This window comes from Homo sapiens, chromosome 2, assembly GCF_000001405.40.
Source record: "Homo sapiens chromosome 2, GRCh38.p14 Primary Assembly".
Taxonomy (NCBI): domain Eukaryota; kingdom Metazoa; phylum Chordata; class Mammalia; order Primates; family Hominidae; genus Homo; species Homo sapiens.
In genome coordinates this window covers 6,943,462-6,964,875 of record NC_000002.12, presented here as the reverse complement: position 1 = coordinate 6,964,875, position 21,414 = coordinate 6,943,462, and the positions used below count along the sequence as shown (strand labels likewise).

General features: G+C 40.9%; 1 protein-coding gene across 8 annotated transcripts in view, besides 1 other annotated feature; it reads right to left on the bottom strand.

Moving 5' to 3' along the window:
- RNF144A (ring finger protein 144A) overlaps nt 1-21,414 on the bottom strand; it is a 158,956-nt gene that overhangs the window by 111,492 nt on the left and 26,050 nt on the right. The window contains exons 3-4 of one of the 8 annotated variants that reach the window (NR_146069.2): nt 13,507-13,558; nt 9,875-11,731 (exon numbers count right to left, since the gene is read on the bottom strand). The exons of the other annotated variants lie outside the window; for them this stretch is intronic. The gene's annotated coding sequence lies outside the window, so the exon portion shown is untranslated. Of the gene's footprint in view, nt 1-9,874; nt 11,732-13,506; nt 13,559-21,414 lie in introns of those variants that run through there. 8 annotated transcript variants of the gene reach the window in all.
- Nucleotides 3,824-4,118: a silencer, noted in NCBI's record as "tiled region #7309; HepG2 Repressive non-DNase unmatched - State 16:ElonW, and K562 Repressive non-DNase unmatched - State 23:Low". NCBI's record gives its function as "represses a minimal TATA promoter and a strong SV40 promoter by Sharpr-MPRA in HepG2 and K562 cells {active_cell/tissue: HepG2 | K562}" and the evidence as "EXISTENCE:reporter gene assay evidence [ECO:0000049][PMID:27701403]".

The following is a 21,414-nucleotide window of genomic DNA, read 5'->3' as shown; positions in this document are numbered from 1 at the left end:
CGTCATTTAGCATTAGGTATATCTCCTAAAGCTATCCCTCCCCCTCCCCGACCCCACAACAGTCCCCAGAGTGTGATGTTCCCCTTCCTGTGTCCATGTGTTCTCATTTTTCAATTCCCACCTATGAGTGAGAATATGTGGTGTTTGGTTTTTTGTTCTTGCGATAGTTTACTGAGAATGATGATTTCCAATTTCATCCATGTCCCTACAAAGGACATGAACTCATCATTTTTTATGGCTGCGTAGTATTCCATGGTGTATATGTGCCACGTTTTCTTAATTCAGTCTATCATAGTTGGACATTTGGGTTGGTTCCAAGTCTTTGCTATTGTGAATAGTGCCACAATAAACATACGTGTGCATGTGTCTTTATAGCAGCATGATTTATAGCCCTTTGGGTATATACCCAGTAATGGGATGGCTGGGTCAAATGGTATTTCTAGTTCTAGATCCCTGAGGAATTGCCACACTGACTTCCACAAGGGTTGAACTAATTTACAGTCCCACCAACAATGTAAAAGTGTTCCTATTTCTCCACATCCTCTCCAGCACCTGTTGTTTCCTGACTTTTTAATGATTGCCATTCTAACTGGTGTGAGATGGTATCTCATTGTGGTTTTGATTTGCATTTCTCTGATGGCCAGTGATGATGAGTATTTTTTCATGTGTTTTTTGGCTGCATAAATGTCTTCAAAAAGTGGGCAAAGGACATGAACATGCTCCCTCTTTCAAAGAATGAAAATTCACATTGGAAGCCAACGTGTTCTCTTGCTGTGTTGTGTTTTTTTGTTTTCTGTTTTTTGTTTTTTTTTCCATCTCTGCTACCCTTGCCACAGTTTTTCTTTAACCTCATGCCTCTTTCCTGAGCCACATCATTACTTCCTTTACAGCTTTGCCTACCAGCTGCTGGAGTGGGCCAGGAGGGGAGTGAGGAAAATGCAAGGCCAGGTCGACCCATTCCCTGCACAGCTGCCAGAAGGATGGCTCTCAAATGCAAAGCCACTCCTGGGCATACAGTGTGTCCCACGCCTGCTTCTAGTTTGCAGCTGCCTGAGAGGAGGGACTACGTTAAATTCATTTTTGACGTCCCCAGCTCCTCACCCAATGACTGCACACCAAGGACACATGACTCGGAAACCCTGAGTTTTAACTCTAGATATGTAATTAACTAGCTAAAGACAGAGGAGAGAAGAAAGTGGAAAAGAGAGTGAGAGAGATAAGAAGGGAGGAGAAAAGGAAATTTGTTAAAACTACAGGGTTTGTTTGGGCCTCTTCTCTTGTAATAGTCTTTTGTTCGGTCATTTTTGGAAACAGACTTAGGTAAATGGCAACTAAGCATACCTCACACATCCAATTACACAGATTCATTCTGAGAAGAAGAAGGAGGCAAGAAAAGGTGGTTTAACTTAGAAAACCAAGTCACGAGGAATTTAATTGTGTGACAAGGAATGTCTACGAGCTCAGAAAGTGACATGATACTGAGAGAGGTTCATCAGTCCATTAAGGAACAGGATGGAGCCAACACAGAAGGTAAATCGGATCAGAATGTGTTGCATATTAACTTTCATGCCCCCCAAATCATTGGAGATTCACCTACCTCCAAACGGACACAAACATTTCAACCCAGAGACTCCTTGCTTGGCCCGTAAGGGTAAAAATCAAACATACATTTTCAGGTATTTAGTGTTCATGTTACCTGAGGACTCCTGATGTTACCTATGTTCCTGTCTGTTCAGGTCTCAGTCTCTCTCTGTGGAACAAGGCACGATTCAGAAAAGATGTCCTCCAATATCTCAAACATAGAAAGGTGGATCTCATGCATCAAATCACCACTTATAACTTAGCCTAATTCTAGTCCAAGTACGACTTCATCCTTGACCTCTGCTTCTCAGTGCTGAGGACAGTCCCCTTATTCATCCATCTTTTAAAATTATCAAAATGATCTTGTCATCTCCCTTCAACGATCAATCACAGTTCAAAGACCACCACAAATTCAACACTGGCATCATGATGGCATAAACCATGGAGACCAGCAAGGCTGGGCCAGTCATTAACTGAGGACCTTCTGTGCATGAATGCCTGTGCTCAGTAATGGAAAAGGTATTGCCCTGCCTCTGGAAGTTTATGCTGTGATGAATAAAATAAGACAAGTGCATAAATATCCAAGCAAAATAGAATGGGGAAGAACTAATGTTTTATTAATTTTCTTGTCTAAGTGTTAGAAGTTTTCCTTATTTCGGTGAATTTATCCATAATCTGATGAGATATTGGCTTCACAGATGAGGAAACCAGTGTTCAGTCAGAAGGCTAAATAGCACAAAGTTTTGATATGGGAGGTAGAAAGAAATTATGAGATCAAAAAGAGTCCTCGGCAGAGCTTCCCTTCTAACAAAAAGCAACCTCCCAAAATCATTTCTCTTGTAACAAAGAACAGCCTGAGAAATGGAGCTGCAAACATAAATAAGGAAGCCAGAAACTTCTATGGGGGATGCCAGCAGCTGCACCATAGAAAAGGGTGACCTGGGGGCCGGGCATGTCCAACATGGAGGCTCCATCTTCCCTTTTCTGTTACCACGTGTACAGTAATAAATAAAAGGGCAACATGGTGGAGCTCAGGCAGAGAACCCGCCTGCATAATAAATCATTAGGGTGGGGGCTACCAGAGATTTGTGCCCTATGCAAATGGCACACCTGGCATAACCAGTCTTTAGCTCCCTATGTAGACCAGGTATCATTCCCCACCAGCTTATCTATAAAACCCCCTGCATTTCACCGTGGATCCCACAACGCATTTTTCCAGGACCGCTCTCTGTAGCGGAGAGCTATTCTCTTTCTTTCACCTATTAAACTTCCACTGTCAACCTCACTCTTCGTATGTCCGTGTCCTTGTTCTCCCTGGCCATGAAACAACAAACCTCAGATATTACCCCAGACAACGAGGCTGTTTCAATTTCACATGTATTTAGTAAATGAGAGAGAGATTTTCAAATGCCAATCAAACACTGTAGCTAATACTACTTCCACAATACCACACACTGCCTAGGAATTCCAAGAAAACACAGCATTTCCAGGTGGCCAAGTCAGGAATACTTCATGGAAGAAGGGGTATTCATGCTGGGCTTTAAGGTTGGAGTGATGTTGTTATGAGTGAAAGAAATTCTAGGCAGAAGGACAAAAGAGGGATGGGTATTCAAAGTCATGTGCCAGACATGAAGGCATGGCCTCAAGGATGTCATCCACAGCAAGATCCTTGCATCGGAGCTTTCCTCTCTTAGTGTTCTCTTGCTCTTGAAATAAAATATAAATTATGTCCTTAGGATGCATGCATGTCTCATCTCTCCAAATACATTACTATCTCCTAAGGCTGGATCTGTATCAAATACTCTGGATCGCAGGGACTCCACTCACAGTGCCCTGGACACAGAAGGCACTCAGTGCAGGTCTGTAAAAGAGTAGTTCACATTCTAAGAGGGAAAAAAAAAATGTACCTTTATAGGAATTCAATCTGGAAAATAAAACGCCTCCACCCCTCAGAAAATAATTTTTTTTCCTGGTCATATTGTCGTAGCACATAATCATTATCATCATAAAGATTTATTATCATAAAGATAATCGCAACATGTTAAATGCCTATGAAGCAATAGACCTTTCTGTGATGCAGTAAGAAGTAACCAGAAACCCATGGACTGATTTAACATCAGACTTAAAAAAAGAAAAGCATGCATTATTCCTTTTCTAATTGCTAAATTATTATGTTTTAAAGAGAAATTACACTAAAAGCCATACAGAAAAAAAAAACCATGTAAGTACAAGAAAGACATCCAGAGGACCACGTTGCATTTCAAATAGCAAAGCAGATTTTTCTGAAAGCTTTCTTCACTACCAAACACACACACGTACACACACACGCACACACAATTGAAATTGGCATTATGCTGACCAATGACTTCATACAATCACTTCACTGCCAATTTCAAAAGTAAGCGCATGCCAGCACTTTCTTCAGCTCTTCCTTCATGCTGAAGGAAGTAAACAAACCACTTATGAGTGTGAATCCAGCAGAGAGCCTGAAACTGCCACAGACCTGCCTGTCTGCGGTGAAGGAGAAAAGAACTCTCATACCTCCACACCGGGGAACCCATGTATTTGCCAGGAACATTTCAGGTGTGGAAGCGCCTTGAGATTTACCTGGCATGACTTCCTCCCCTCACGGTGAGATGAAATACATGCCTGATCTACGCAGAGAGCAGGTCAGTGCTCTTCCACCTGAGTATCCTTCTCTCTACACACCAATACTTCCGAGTCGTGATTAATTTCTCCTTCAATTCAAGATGGTGTTATACTTCCCCGGTTGTGTGTTGTGACCATCACTTTCCAGAACACAACCTTGGCCACTCTCATTGCCTTTTTAAAAGAGTATCATCCAGGGGCCCAGGTGGACTCACCCCGACTCAAGTTCTCTAACAAAAGCCAAAGTCCCTTCATGGTATGCCTTTCAAATGTCAGAAGCCACCTTCAGCTGGGCTCATTTTTTAAAAAATAGGTGAGTAAGGCAGATTCTAAGAGTTGATCTGGGAACCTCAAAGGTTTTCACTCTGTTGCGAAGATTCCATGCCAAAGGCACAAGGGCCTATGATATACATCGTCCCTAGTCTACTCCGAGGGAAAATAAGGAAAAAGAAGAGGATTTTAGGGCTTCACTGAACAACACAGTTTACTTTTCCTCCACCCATGTTTCCCTTTAGTTTTCCAGTGGTCTCCATTGCCATGAAATATCCTCCTGGATACTAGGGGCAAGACATTCATTTATAACTCTTGGAATCACAGAATGTGAGTGCTGGAGGGTCTCCGGAATACAGGCCACAGAGAGGAAGTAACATGGAGCAGCACTGTATGATCTCCATATGAGGGCAGGGACAGGTAGCCCCTTGACTGAGATCAAAGTGCCTATTTGGTAGTAGACAAGTCCCGGGGAATCCAGGGGAATTGGGAACTTCACTTGCTGCTCCAGTGCTATGGTTTCAATGTTGGTTCCCTCTGGAACTCATGCTGAAACTTAATCCTCAATGAAACAGTATGGGGGGGGTGGTGATCTTTAAGAAATGACTGGGTCATAAGGCGTCTGCCCTCATGACCGGATTAATCCATTCACCGGTTATGGATGAACAGATTAATGGGTTATCATAGGAGTAGAACAGCTACCCTGAGAGTGAGTCTGTTATAGAAGCCACTTTGGTTTTCTTTCGTGTGCCCCTCATCCTGTGATGCCTTCTGCTGTGCTATGATGCCGCGTGAGGCCCCTCACCAACAGCCCACCCCATGAGGTCACCTGATCCCGGACTTCCCAGCCTCCAGGACTGTGAGAAATAAACTTCTTTTCTTTATATCACCCAGTCTCAGATACTCTATTACAGCGACAGAAAATGAACTAAGACATCCAACAGCAGCTCTCCTATCTGGATGTGCACACGCAATTGTACATCATGATCCCTGTTTTCCTAGTAATCTATTAAATAATCACACCAATGAGCCATGCTCCACTTTCACTTCCATCCCGCCTTTCAATCCCTCTGCTTCCTTTTTAAAGTCTCTGACTCCTGGCCATACCCCAATGTCCCACTGAGAGAACAAGTTGTGAAAGTTACAAGGCTTCATGAGACCCTGAGATCAGAACTCCCTGGAGTTGCAGACAAGCCAGGGCGCTTCTGATGTATCAGATCACCAGCCTCACCCCCAGTGCTGTGACTTGGCCACAGGGATGCAGAGGCCCTGTCCTCTCACTGAGGGAGTTTATTTGGAATGAGTCAATGAGGTGCTTCGCCAGGAGCATCACGTGTTCTGTGCTCTGAGGGCAGTAAGAGAGTGATCAGGGGAGCAAGCCCCGGAGAGCAGTAACTGGACGCCCACGCTGCACCTGCAAGATGATCTAATGCACCATTTAGGGAGTCACTGGGTAAAAGAGAAGCTTTTAGGGAGCCATTGGGTAAAAGAGAAGCTTTGGAATAGTGTCCAAGCTCCTTTCAGCAGGGCCCACTCCCAACCTTGATCTCTGCACAGCCTACCCCACTGCCACCTTGCAGGTGAGACACCAGGCCCATGTCCTCCTCTGCCTCCTCCTGCGGGATGCACAGAAGCAACTGTCTGATTGGGAAGGCAGCCAGCCTGGGACCCTCTGGGAAATAGATTACGGTCACGTGGACAGTCCCCCAGAATCATGAACACTGAACCTTCTTCAGCTTTGTACCTCAACGTCCCACACACTCCCACCGTGACATAGGAGAGAGGCTACTGAGTTAGCTCAAGGTGCTAGTCACAGCCCAACATTTGTAACTCCCAGAAGGAGCCAGCGCTCCACCAAGAACGAAAAAGTGGGCCACATGGGTTATTGCTCAAGGTCTATGCTGAGAGCACCATGAATCACTAAGACATCTGGCCCGAGAACTTTAATCAGCTGCTCTACCTAAAATGCAATATTCTGTTTTCCTCCCAAACTGGGTGGTCACCTGGGTGTCGGGGAGGAAAGCAAGGAAGGCTTGCCCTTGTCCGTGTGTCTGTTCTGTCTCTGGCACGGCAGGCTGCTGAGTTACTGGACTGTGTCCTTCAATCACTCCACTTTGCTTTCTGTCCCTTCACCAGCCCAGAGCAGAGCCCCGCAGAAGGGACTGCTGAGGCCAGGCAGAGTGGTGATCAAGTTCCACCTTCCAGGAAGAGACAGCACGCCCGGTGCCCCATGGTGGCTGCGCATGACAGCCTGGCTGCAGACTACTGTGTGCTTCCATCTGTCACCTTCCAATGCAATGTGACAGCAGCCCTCCGGCGATCCATCTGCTTCCCTGGAGCTCCATCCCGACTCCCCCACCCCATTCTGTCGTTGCCTAACTGGGCAAATCCAAGATTAGGCAGTCTCAGCTGCAGCCCCCAGAAGGAAAGCTAAGAGCCTCACACCAAGCTGCTAAAAAACAGACATGTTGAGATTGAGTGGTGAGAGGCGGGGAGCTAGTGATGGCCCACAGTCCCTGCAAGGCAATATAGAGTGCTAAGATTGGAAAAGGGGTAGGAGGAAACAAGGACATTTTCTTTTACTTAAAATAAAAGCATTTGCAAAGAGGTAGCTCTCAGAATATGCCTTTCAGTGTCCTCTAGGATCTCAGCAGAGGCCTAGAACCAGAGGGCTCATAAAGTCCAAGTATTTAGAGAGATTACAGTGTCATTCAATCCCAAAAGCACTTGTTGAGGGTCAGCTCTATGCAAAAGTGTGCAGAGTTGCTTGGAGGAAATAGAGATAAACCATGCGGGGTACCCATTCCCTGCCAATCCCACAGCAGCCTCTATGCAGTGAGCTCTCTGAGCCTGATGTGGTCAACGCCAAGGTGGGCATCAGGTAGACCAGTTTCCCTCTTAGTACGCACAACATCCAGCACTTACCCACACATAATCACATTCTTCCAGTCACACTTTGCACACACTTTTGCACAAATATAACACAAAAGGGAATTGTTTTAAAATACAGTTCCTTCATTCAGCTAATATTTACCAAGTGCCTTCTGACCTCTGAGCACTCTCAACACCGGAGCAGATGCCAGGCCCTCTACGCTGAGCTCAGAGCCCACATGTAGCGGGTAAAGCCCTACATGCAGGACAGACAGATACAGGATTCAACAGAGGCAAGCACGTGGGACAGAGAAGGGGTTTCTCAACGAGAAGGGCTCTCACGAAGAGCTTCCTGCAGACACTGGGCCAAGGGGAGGGAACAGCCAGTGAGAAACCATGCCACCAAAGGGCTGTCCAGGGCCACCAATTATTCCTCACATTCCAGTTGGAGTGTGCTGGGGGCCTAAGAGTAAATGAGGCTGCAGCCAGGCCAGGAGCTTCCTCACACGTTCAGGAAGAGTCCAGACTTTGCTCCTGATGCCCTGAGAACTACTGATGGAGTTTTCAACAGAGAGCATTTTAATATGCTTGTCATTTTCACATGATTTTCTACAGTCTGAGACAAGGAAAGCAGTCAGAACTTTGCTGCAGATAAGTAATAATTTGCAAGTGCCCTGCATATTTTTTGTAGCATATGTATTTGCTGAAAGCTTATCAGATAATGTATGAGGGAGTGGACTATAAACCACCAAGCCTCCCAGAAGCATGCAGAGTTGTTCTCACATTGAAGCTGAGCAGCGTCCCCGGATGCCACTAGATTAGAACAGGGTATCCCAACATCAGACCTGAGATTAACAGTAAGCCAAGCAAACAAAAATCTCGGTCTAAGATCCAAGAGACCCAGATTCAAGACCCAACTGCAAATTAAATTCATGAGACCTTGGACCATTCCATGGTGCCATAAAGCCTCAGTATCATCATCTGTGATTTGGGTTGGTGAGAACTGCCCTGCTACTCAAAGGGCTGTCATGGGGATCTATGCAACAACCTACAGAAATGACATCCAAAAAGATGTGTGGTGTACAGATGAGATTAGGGAGCTGAAAGCTGCTTCTTCTGGAGGCACCTCTGACTCTCTTGTTGGGCTACTTCACAACCATTTCAGGTACACGCCATGGGTACAGACGAAGGTGACTAGCCTCAGGAAGTTTACAGGAAAGTAAGTGGCTATAACTGTGCACCTTATCCCCCACCCCCCGAAAAAAAAACAGAAACAAGAAAAGAATTTGCTAGTCGGCAGCCAGGACTCCTGGGTGTCTGACACAATCCTCTATGAATCAGACAACTCCCTTAACATGTAATCTGGGCTATTTTAGAACCCCCAATAAGCTTTAAATGGGTTAGGAGGGATCACCTTATTTTTAAAGGTCCCAGAGGGCTTGAAGCCATGTTATAATATTTTTATAGCCTCTTTCAGAGTCAGGAGCTGTACGGATTTTGTACTCACTCTGAATTTAACTAGTACTTAAGTGTGCTGATTATAGCTGCAAACACACTTCTTGTTCCAGTGTGTGGTTGGAGAGGTGGACAGGGAAGAAGCTTTGGAAATTTACAGCACAGAAATAGCATGTGGTCTGTCTGCTTGAAAAGAATCAATCCCTCTGTGACAACATCTAGAAGACCAGTAAAGGGCCTGTAGCAAACAAAAGACAGCCATTAAAATGGGGCTTCTTGTCACCAAATCCCTGTTTTGGGACACTGGACAGGCTTTTCCAGTCCAGGAGACACCAACAAAGCCAGGAGCAGGCACGGTGCTAGGATGCAACAGACAGGGCAAGTCTGGCTGGAAAATTGGGGGTCATCCAAGGAAAACATCTAGACACAGTGATGATTGTAAAGGAAATAATTAAGAAAGAAAATGCACCAGACACTTCCTAATTGGCTTTGCTTGAAGGAGCAACTCTATTTAGTTGTGGAAATGAGCTGTGGATGGCAGGAGGGCCTGGAATGGGCTGAGAAGAATTGACTCGGTCTAGGCACTGGCCAGCCCTGGAATCCCCACGGGTCTCTGATCCCTCCTCTGTAATATGAAGGCCTTAAATGTAAAGGATGTTCTTGTGGGTTTCACAGAGGGGAACCACAGAGGGGAAGCCTTAGTTGATGGGGGTCACAGGGGCGCTAAACTTATTCCCATCTGAGCCTAAGCCGAATTTTATTATTTATTTTTCAGACATTAGGCTTCCATAAGACTTCCTCTGGAAAATGGATTACCACAAAACTACTCCCCAAATTTTGAAAATTCTGTACTGCATGATCCCTATGATTTCCTTTAAGTGTTCATATTTGCACACAACAGTGTTGCCTTAGAGTAAAACAATCAAAAGAAAAAACGTTTCTTATCTTATCCTAACAAGCCATGTCATTGTTCTACAGACACCCTAATAAACATGTTTCATGATGAAATCCTGATTTGTCTCCAAATTTCAAGTCACACAGAAAAAAATAGGTCAAAGAGGTGTCTATTTTAAAAATAACACTATCTTTTTAAAAACGGTAGTGTGTGGGTCACCTTATAAATGTTAATATATGTTTACTACAGAAAATAAGGTTTAAAACATTATAGAATGAAAATAATCTAGAATATCAACTTGACGACAGCTAAGTTTACCAGTGCTGTGTTCTTTCCACATTTGCAAAGTGTGTCACATGGCCCTGGACTTACACGCACGTAAGATCTCAGTCCTTTGTCTAGTTCACATGAATCATAAAATACTTTTTCTACACTGAAAATCTCTTGTGCCTACTTAATTGAAAATCTACATAAGTGTCATGAAAAACCTATCAGTGGAGAGTTCCCATCTTCTTTGATGCTCCATCCAAATGATGAAACAGGTTTTGAGCCAAGGGGCCACCCATGTCTTCAGCAGCAACAAAAATCAGTAATTGCAGACATCCACTTCCCTCATTATGATGAATTAGATTCTATCAAGACCCTTCCCAGCAGAAAATAACTAAAGCCCAGTTAAAACAGATTGAACTAAAAAACGAATAAGCATCGTAGCTTATAAACCTGTAAGTGGACTACAGAATTCTAAGGCTCTTAGGGTTTTTAGAAACTGAGAATTTAAGGCTTTCTTTTTTTTTACTTTCTGTGCACACAGGAAAATATCAGTGCTGTCTACTAAGAGAAGAGAAACAGAATGTATAACTTCCAAATTATAAAAGAAAAAAAGAAGTAATACTATAAAGAAACAAATATGCATTTAAAAAACAGAAAACGGCATAAAAGCATTTGAAGAAAAAAATCCAAATATATTAAAGTCATAAAAAATAAATGGATTAAGCTTGATAGCCAAGAAATGGTAAAATTAAATTTTAAAAACAGATAAATATACCTAAAAGTATAAGAAATTGGATAAATTAGAAGTCAAAGGATGGAGAAAAGTGATCAAGAAAAATGCCAACCAAAAGAAAGCTATCGACAAAACAGGCTTTAAAGAATAAAGCCTAACTAGAGAAAAAGAAGGTAATACATTATAAAAGTCTTAATTCATTAAGAATCCATAAATTTTAAGTTTGTATACAACAAATAACTTCAAAATATATAAAGCAAAAATGATACTTACTGAGAAAAATGCCAAGTACACCAACGCACTGAGAAAACTCATTATATATGACTTTAAAATGGCAAACATGCAAAACTAGTGAAAATGTAGAAAATATGAAAGGTACTGCAAACAATCTTGATGTAATAGATTGTAAAAACCCAGAACCAATAAACTGGGAATTCACAGTTTTCTCAAAAAGACACAGAACATTCACAAAAGCTGACATTATACTGGGACATAAAGAACAACTCAGCAGACCATGTGTTCTGACCTCAATGCAATTAAGATAGATATTGATAATAAAAAGATCCCACACGTTGGAAAATTTTGAAAGACTTATCAGTAACTCATGGGTTATAGAAAAATATGTAATTTTAAAAATATGTAGAACTAAACATTAATGAGAATATTATTTAAGAAAACTTATGAGATGCCATTAAAGCAGTACTGAGAAGAAAATTTTTTTTGAGACGCAGTTTTGCTCTTGTTTCCCAGACTGCAATGCAGTGGCACGATCTTGGCTCACTGCAACCTCCACCTCCTGGGTTCAAGCAATTCTCCTGCCTCAGCCTCCCGAGTAGCTGGGATTACAGGCGCCCGCCACCATGCCGCTCTAATTTTTGTATTTTTTTAGAAGACACGGAGTTTCACCATGTTGGCCAGGCTGGTCTCAAGCTCCTGACCTCAGGTGATCCACCGGCTTCAGCCTCCCAAAGTGCTGGGATTACCGGTGTGAGCCACTGCGTCCAGCCCTGAAAAGAAAATTCATAATCTTAAATGCTTATATTTTAAAAAGAGGGCTAAAAATTATTGAGCTGTTTTTAGCTGAAAAAGTAAGAAAAGCAACTATAGCCCAAAATCAAAGAGAGCAAAAGAAGACCTGTAACAAACAAAAACAAAAATAAATAAAACACAAAGTAAAGTTACAATACAGAGGGTCAACAAAGTCAAGAGTGTTTTTCTTTGAAAATCATAATAAATGCACAATCTGGCAGGTTGGTTGAGGAAGAAAAAAGAACAATTGTATTGTAATAAATAATAGAAGAGATTTAAAAATCTGTGAATAATTTTATGCGAATTAAATTGAAAAGCAGGGAATTATGAACACATGCCTAAAAGAATACAACTTAACCTGCATACCATAGTAAGACTCCAGCTCTAAAACATATATATGTGTGTGTATATGTATATATAAAATAGAAATACACATCTGGATTCTATTTGCTCATTTTTAAATTTTTTCTTAAGTTATATATATAAATATATGTTAACATACTTTTTTATATATAACATATATATATACATAAAGCTTAACAAAACTGACTCAAGAAGAAATGAGTGCAAATAATTTTACAAACTTTGAAAAAAATTGATTAGAAATCTTCCTACAATGAAATCACTAGGTCTCGTTTTCAGTTGAGTACTACCAAAATTTCAAGAGCAGATAATATAAATCGTACACAAAATCTTCTGGTAAATTGGGAAAAACAGGAAAAAAAAAAAACCCTCCCTCTTCAATCAGACAAAAGCAGTTAAGGAAAGAAAAAATATAGGCCAAACTCTCTCATGAGTAAAGAAGCAAAAATTTAAAACAAAATATGGGCAAATAGAATCCAGCTGTGTGTCAGATGTGTATTTAAACAAGCTAGATTTCTCTTAGAAGTATAAGAGAATTTAACATTGGAATATATTGTAAGCGTAACAGAACATAAAAAAACAGTGAGAACCATATGGTCCTCTTAATAGATGCAGAACAGGCCTTTGATAAAATTCAACATGTATTTATGATTAAAAACATAAAATAAAAGTCGACAAATCAGAAACACAAGGTAATTTCCTTAACCTAATGACATTTAGAAAAATATGGCGGCAAACGTATTTTTAATTAAATTAGAACATTCCCTATAAAACTCAGGCTGGAGGAAAGGATGTCTGCTATTACTTCAATTCAATATTGTACCTTGGGCTCTAATGCAAAAAAGAAAGCAATCACAAGAAAGAGAAACTATAAGAATTGAAAATGAATAAACAGTAATTTCATTATTTAAAAATACAGTATATGTACAAGAATCTATAGACAAAATATTAAGAATACCAAAGGTTTGGTAAAGTGACTAGATGCAAGATCAATATTAAAAAGGTAATTACATTTATACATTCCAGCAAAGATTCCATTTCCAAGGGTATAAAAGAAACTAAGGTACTAGGAGCACATTCAACAAAAGATAAGTAAGGTGTATCTAGAGAAAAGTAGAAAACATAGAAATTTCAGACATAAATACATGGATAGTGATACGATGTTCATGGATGAGAAAGTCAATATCCCAGAATATGCCAATTCTTTCTAAATTGACCTACAGAGTTAATGCAATCCAAGCAACTTCCCAACAAGGGTTTGCTGCTGTTGTTAATGGTGCTATTAGTTCATAAACTAACTCTAAAATCTCTATAGAGGGCAGAGGACCAGGTATAGCCAAACACCACCAAATAAGAGGGAAAAGGTTGGAAGCCAAGTGCCAAAACTTACTAGAGAGCTGGAGTCATTAAGAGCAGGCTGCATTGACACAGAGGTGGGCAACCTAACCAAGTTAATAAAGGAGACAGAGAAAAAAAAAAAAACATGAATACATGGAAACATGACACATAACAGAGTGTGCATTTCAGATAAATAGAGACAAAGGGCCATTCAATAAATGTTACTACGTATTATTTTTCCTTATGAATAAAAACCACATTGGATTCCTCCATCACACACAAAAGTTAATTCTAAATACTTTTAAAACTATTAAATATAAGAGAGTGACTTATGACCTCAGAATACAGAAGAATATATTAAATATAAGGCCCTAATTATAAATGGGCAAGGCTGATATAGTCAGCATGTTAAAATCAAGAACTTCTAGTCATTAAAAAGATAACTTACAGAAAGTGAAAATGGATGACACAAACTGGGAGGTAATATTTTTAACACTTGAAACAAACAACAGTCTTCAGAATACAGGAAAATGAGTTCAAATCAATAAGAAAAATACAATCCAATAAAAAAACTAGACCAAAAATACGAGCAGTCATTTTACAGTGGACAAAACAGATGGTGATTAAACATGGGGAAAGTAGCTCAATATTACTGGTAGCTTAAATTCATCTTACCATTAATTTGGCAAAAATTAAGACACCTAATGCCAAGTGTTAGGATAAGAAAGGCATAAATTTTAAAGGAAACTCTTATTCACTGCTGATGGCAATGTGAATTAGTATGATCACACTTCAGAAATCATTACAACATTTTCTTGCAAACTTAATCATTAATTAGCTTTTATTTTTCAGGCCCAGCTGTGCTCTTCCTTGGTATATAATCAAGAAAAAAATTGCACTTATGGACCAGGTATTTAGGAACCAAGAATACTAACAGCAGACTGTTTTGTGACAGTAAAGATTGAAAATAACCCAAACATCCAATGGCAGGAGAATGCATGAAGAAATCGACGCCAACATTATCAAATATTACACAACATGAAATGAATAAATGCAGTTACACAAAACAACGCGGTTAAATCTTAGAGAACACTGAGTGAGCAAGTCTACCTATAACACAATATCATTGTTAATGAGTAAAAGGATATAAGGTTTAGCAATAAAGAACGCTTAAAATAGCAAGGAAAGATTAGTAGGTAGCTCAGGGGAAAGGTGGGATGCCAGGGCAGCAATATATGGGAGCACCATTCACATCAACGATGCTCTCGTTTGAAAGGCAGGTTCAGGATATTTGCTAATTATGCTTCAAAACTGACATAATGAAGTTTTTCATGTGTCAAATTCTACTGAATACAGCTCTTTAAACGCACTGCTTAAAACAGTAATATGGCAGAATCCTGTTCTGACTAAAAAGCGGGTATCTTTTTATGCCTCCTAAATTTTCTAGAGGGGTAAATAAAAAAATAATAATAATAATAATGGTGATGATGATAGTGGTTTTCTCTGGGAAAGAAGGTACAGAATTTAAATTTTTACTTAATACACTCTCTGTAGTTTAATAATTTTACTGTGTATGTATATTTATTTTTAAAATAAATTATCCATAATTCCTTAAGTAATTCCTTAGAGAACTTTTAGAACTCAAATACAAAAGTTAAGATTAAGAGCAAAGACAGATCCTGAATGAATTCCGAAAATCCAATGTTGATTTGTCAATGAATTGAAAGAACACACAAATAGCCTGGCTGAGTGCAGGTCTCTGAAATGGAAGTTCTGGGTGACGTCCACACCCTCCTCACTCCATGGTCTCTTCGACCAGAGACTCAGCTCGGTGCTAAAGAGGCCTAGACTGCCTCCAGGGCCAGCTCTCAAAGTCTGTGGATTACATGATCCTTTTAATACAGAGGATGTCCTTTAATTCCTGTCCTATGTAAGAACCTTCCTCAGATGATGCACTTTCAATTTATTCTCTATTCTACCAGAAGTTTCTTGATTTCCTTAAAAAAAAAAAAAGAAGGAAAGGAAGGGGAGGGGAGGGGAGGGGAGGGAACTGTGAAATGCCTTCCCCAGGCTAACCCCTTCTTCAAAGATTCTGAAATGTGATTTTTTTTTCCCCATCCTGGAAACATTTATATACAAACCTCCTGTTTGTAGTTAATCCTCACATTCAGTTGACTTACTCACATAGTGAAGAAATGTTTAACAGCAGGCTCTTCATTCTGATTCTTCAAAACCTCAAATTGCGTTTGACTTTTTCTTTCTGGGAAGTGTTGGTGATAATATTACACTCTCTTGGGCTGACTTTAGCCTGCACCAAAGTTTTCAACTAGAATTGGGCAAAGAGGACCCAGAAGAGAAATCAAAAGCACCACGTGGTCACCTCGCATGGCCTACGCTTTCAGGGATGGACAGGCACTCCAGAGCCCACTGGTGCCTCTCCTCTGCCCCCAATGACCTCGTCCACCAATGGACTTCACAGTCATGTTCCTAGTCTCTGCAAAATAATTCATCTGATTTCAATATGTGCTTCCTCCCACAGCTGGACACCATTATTTCTGGTACTCAAGATCTCTTCTGAAGCACATAAAACACCAGCTGATAGCCCTTAAAATGGCTCCTCCAAAACACCAATGTCCAGAAATGATCCACTCCACTCCCACCACGCCCACACCCATCTGGATCCTGGAGGGTCTTGCAATCCTAAATCACTTCCATTTGGAATCAAGATATTTTCCAAGATGTTCTAATCTTCCCTGCTTTCCTGGTGCTAAGAGTCACCTCTTAAGAGTCTCTCCTAAATTTTTATCAGGCAGAAAGGTAATGTGAGATTTGGAAATGGGGCATCCTGGGCTTGTTTCAACTCCACCAATGGCCCGTTGCCTCATCTTGAGGAAGCCTTGTTCAGTCTCAGTTTTCTCAGCTGGATGATGGGAAGCACCACAGCTCACAGGGACATTGTTTAAGCCAGCAAAATAACCATGCAAATGGAAATTCATTTATAAACATGAAAGTGATAAACAAATGATAGCTGTCAGCAGCAACCATGAGGTATTTCATGTGTCCCTAGACCTCTGGGCAGGATCCAAACTTGCGTGGCTCCAGGAGCTTGAGAATAAAAATCAACCTCCTCTAAGGCTGTCTCTTCTCTCTGTGCTGTGACAGAAGACATCCCTCAGCCAGATCTGGATCTCCCAAATTCCTGCAGCCCTGCAGCACCATCAGAGTATTCTCCTCTGAGAGAATAAAACATGTAGACCATCTCCACACCCAGTCTTCCTTGCAGCTGGGAGCAACAGAGCTTGCTGGTATCTTGTTTGTATCTGCTGAGTTTCCACCGTGCAGCATGGCTCCACCAGTTATACACACTGACCTCCTTCCCTCTTCCCTCGGGACCTAGATTGGGCTGCAGGTGGTCATTTTGTGTGCTTTTAGTTCTTAGCCCGTAGCTAACATGTGAGTGGCTAACATCTGAATGTTGATCACACGTTATGAACAGTTTCCCCATCCTTCAATACATCTGATCCTTAGAGCATCTGCCATTCCCATTGTATAATGAACAAATCCAAGAGGGAAGTGGCTTCTCCAGATCACGTGGGCAGGACAGGGCAGAGCCAGGCCTCACCGATTCTCGAGCTCCACCTCTTCCCACAGACCCTCTCATTGGCACTGTGTGGCCTGCAGCAGAGGCTGTCCCTTTTTTTGGCTTAAATACGGCTTAAAATAATTTTTAAAAACTACTCAGGCCCTTTGCATGCCCCCAGTTGCCATCAAAAAAATTCAATAGAACTACAAATCACTGAAAATGATGTAACTTCTGGCATATTGCCTTTTAAAAAATAAGTCAATGTCAGTTTTAAAAGATTTAATTTTTGGCCTATCACTAAATTTTATATATGTAGAAACTTTCTTCTCGGGCACAAATTTTATAGCATTCCTTTATCTCTCTGAACCTATATTACCATTGTTATTCTCCTGACATAATTTTTACTTCATGTAATGTAATATAGGATTCCTTGTCTATATTTTATCAGTGGAAGTATTTTACTGATTTTAAAAATTAAGAAAAGTATTAATTTTTGAAATAGCTTGTTACCATAAGGTTCCAACTATTAAAAATTACTGCAATTGTAATGATTATATAATTAATAAAAACAAGATAAATATAAATTAATGTACATTTCTTAAATCTAAAAAATAAACTATTAAAAACAGAAGAATTTGGATTTTTTCTCTTTAAGTTTGTATATCTATGGATAAATATTACTTATATGTATAATAAGACTCAATTCAAGATCAATTTTGTTCCAACTTTTCACTTTTATAGCTATAATAACTTCAATACTTTGTTCACATACATACACAGATGGACTAGAAGATACATTGTAAAAATGAAACTCAAGTCTTGAACTTCTATATATATGCCAAAAATCACATAGTAATAAAAGAAAAAACTAACTCTGAGTGATCAGCTGACAACTTAATCAGCAGATCTTCCCACAAAAGTAAACCTTTGGGAACCACCAGATATGTAAATAATGTACAACCAAGACATTAGTCATTCAAGTCCAGTTTCTGGGAAACACATCAAGAGACTATACTAAGACTTTATAAATAATTGTACTCATTACTTTTTCACTTAGAGGCACTTTGTTTAAGTCAATATACTCAAGAACGAGCTTGAAAAAAATCTTAATACGTGATTTTATTATTAAAAATGCTTCAATTACATGTTTGTCAATATTATTTGTATATTTAGCTGATTCTAATAACCTAAGAGACAAAGGAGGTTCTCACTGTCAAATCGGTCAGCCCTGTGTTCTACCAGAAGAGGTTTCACCTTATTTTTAAATTCAAAGAAATGTTTTTACATTGACTATATATTTATGTACATACAATTATAGGTATTATATTTATTTATATCATATATATTTAGAGAGAGAAAGAAAAAAGGAAAAATAATTTTTAAAGCACTGAGATAAATTATGAAACACAACTCATAAAACAGATCATTAAAATCAGTAAGGTCAGGTTTAAATCAAGATTGAGGTGACTGAATTATGTTACCCATTTTATAACAAATTATAAAGGCAAGATACTAATGGTGTTCTCATTAATATTTAATAAGGCAGTGTTAAATTGAGCTAAAATTAGAAGTTATTGATGAAGCTGTAAGTCTGAGAGCAGGCACGATATTTCTTTAATGAATGTATATGCATGTGTCTATGAAGTTCTGTTGTTAGGCTTTTGGGAATAATCAAAAGAAACTGTATGTTTAAAATAAGGACAAAAATACATTTGTTTTTGTTAAGCCTCATGACCCAACATTTCCTACTGGGTCTTCTTCCCTTTATCCCAGAAGCATGATATCACTCAATCAACCATCCAGAACCCTTTTGTTTTGAATCACATCACTACCCTTGACACATCTGAATGGTTCTCCCTGCCCAGGAGACAGATTCTACCTCCTCCTGATGGCAAATCTTCAGACTCCAGGCTCCAAGGGGCTCCCCAGCCCTGCTGTTCCAGGGCCCAGGTTCTCCTCATCTCTTTCCTCACAGCAGGCTCAAAACTGCCTTGGTTGTGATAATTCTTCTAACAGTCAGCATCCATTTCTCATTGTCTTAGTTCTACTCTGGCCTGTGCCCCAGTTTTGGGAACTGGAATCCACATCCTCACCTTGTCAACATTACCCAAAAAAAAAAAAAGTCAACAAAAAAACCCACATTCTTACAAACAGAAGTCAGCCTGTGTCTCCTCATTTATCCTGGGAGCCTCAAGCATGGGACCTTGCACATCATGGATGCTCATTAAATGCTGACTTGATCTTTCTAGAGAAATCTATACCGCCCTAGAAAACAGGCACTTGCTGTTCTCTTGCCAGTAGTTGACCGTCTCCCTCCAATTTGGCATGTATAAACACCAGGAAGGCTCAGAGAAGACTGACCCAGCAACAGACTGACTTAACATCATAGCCTAGAGCACAGAATATGGAGGAAAATGGCCCAAAGTCTGAAAAACAGAAGTAAACAAACCCCAGAAAACTGTAACTGAGCTAAATGTGGAAAATGTGGTTATGATTGATTGTAACAATACCATCAGCCGCTGCATCTCAGAAGAGCATCTCTGTTTCCATTTCTAAAAATACTGCTCATTTCTACACATTAGGAACTCTGAAACCAGGAGGAACTAGAGCAAGGTATCGGTCTTTTCGCTTCTAGTTCATGCTTTAAAAATGACCTTTGCCCTAAAGGCCAGCTAGCCAAAAGCAGACCATCAACGAGCCGGCCACACAAAGCTGCAGTTTCCCAAACGTGGCCGGTCCAAAGGCTGAGTGATGGCCAAGGCCAAGTTTTTAACCAACAATTTCTTTTCTTTTTAAACTACTGATATTTCCTACTTGGGAAAAACAAAACAAAACAGAACAAAAACCTGTATTTCAAAATTAGCTACTTCAATCATTGAAGGCTGGATTGAGGCTGCTTTATAGTCCATGAAAACCACCTCTCTTTATAAATTCTAAACATTTAAAAAATCTTTGCTCGTGCTGGAATGTCATTTTCTAGTATTTTGGCCACTTCACCATGACTCTTTTGTGAATATGAAGCCATTTCACAGTTCTTGGAATTTGTTTGAGACAGATTCCCAAACACAGCGTCCTGGGAGGTGGGCGTGGCCAACAGAGAGAACACAAAATTCTACTTGGCCTCGTGATGTGTTTTCTCCAGGGTTCTTTAATGTCTCCCTCACACCTGAGGAGACCCTATCTCGGGGCCAGCAAAAGCACTGCAGGGAAAGATGCAATAATCCTAATATGTTAAAGTTAAGATTAAAAAATAAACATAAAATTAGAATGCACTTATCTTCCAAGGAATGGAAGAGAAAGCGGGAGGGGTAACTTCAAATGGCAACTTTCACAGTGGCCACATCTGGGCCACAGTGCCCCAGCCAGGAAATGCAACCGTGACACCTTAGCAATGCCTTCCCAGTATCACCAAAGGGGTAAGTAGGCAATCGGGTAAGTGGAGGGGAAGATCTCTCCAGCAGCCCTTTTAAAGTACGGACCATGAAAACGTGAGACAGGATGACTGAGAAGCCGAGCCTTTGGGAGGAACACTGGAACTTGCAGCACCCGCAGACACCCCACATTCCGGGTTCCTCACACCACCTCAGATCACTGCCTGTGCCACTGCAGGTCCTTTCTCCATCACCCCAGGCCCATAGTGCCCGGCCTCCTCCCGCATCTCCAATGGCTCCTCCTCTGCTCCTTCCTCCCTCAGACCCGCTGTCCTCTCTCCTCACTTCCCTGTCTCAGTGCCCTCTGAGATTAGGATCCTCTCTCCCTGGCACACAATACCAATTCCAGCCATTCTTTCACTGTGTCCCTCTCAGCTTGGCCAAAAGATCACTCAATCCTTGACCTCCTGCACACTTCAACTCCCCATCAGGGCTGTCTAGAGAAGCATGCAGTCACCCAGAGTGGCTCTTTCAGTCTGGAGCCAGAGCTTCGAGTGGGCTGTGAATGCTTCAGGTGACCGCTCTGCACCTCCATCTCTCTAGAGGACTTTCTGCTGCCTCCTGGTCTCTGCAAACTTCCAATCCCTCTCCATGTAGCATGCTCAGATGCTGGCTTTGACTCCCATTTCACAAAGAAAGGTCGGTAATCAGAAGAGAACTGCAGAGCCTCCTCCTCCGAGCACCACCCACGCATGTATCTGTCATTTGGTCCATCCCCACTGGTAACTATCCGTGTTCCTCCTAAAGCCAGTAACTCCACTTTTCCACAAACCCATCTCTCTCTCCTACTCAAGAAGTGTTTTCAGCAGCCCTCCATCCCACACAATCAATATTTCACTCTCTACAGAATCACTCCCATCAGCATCTAAACATGCTGATAATGCTTCCAACTGAAAAATAATTCTCCTAAGCTTATTTACCCCACCAGATACCACCTCAAACTCTG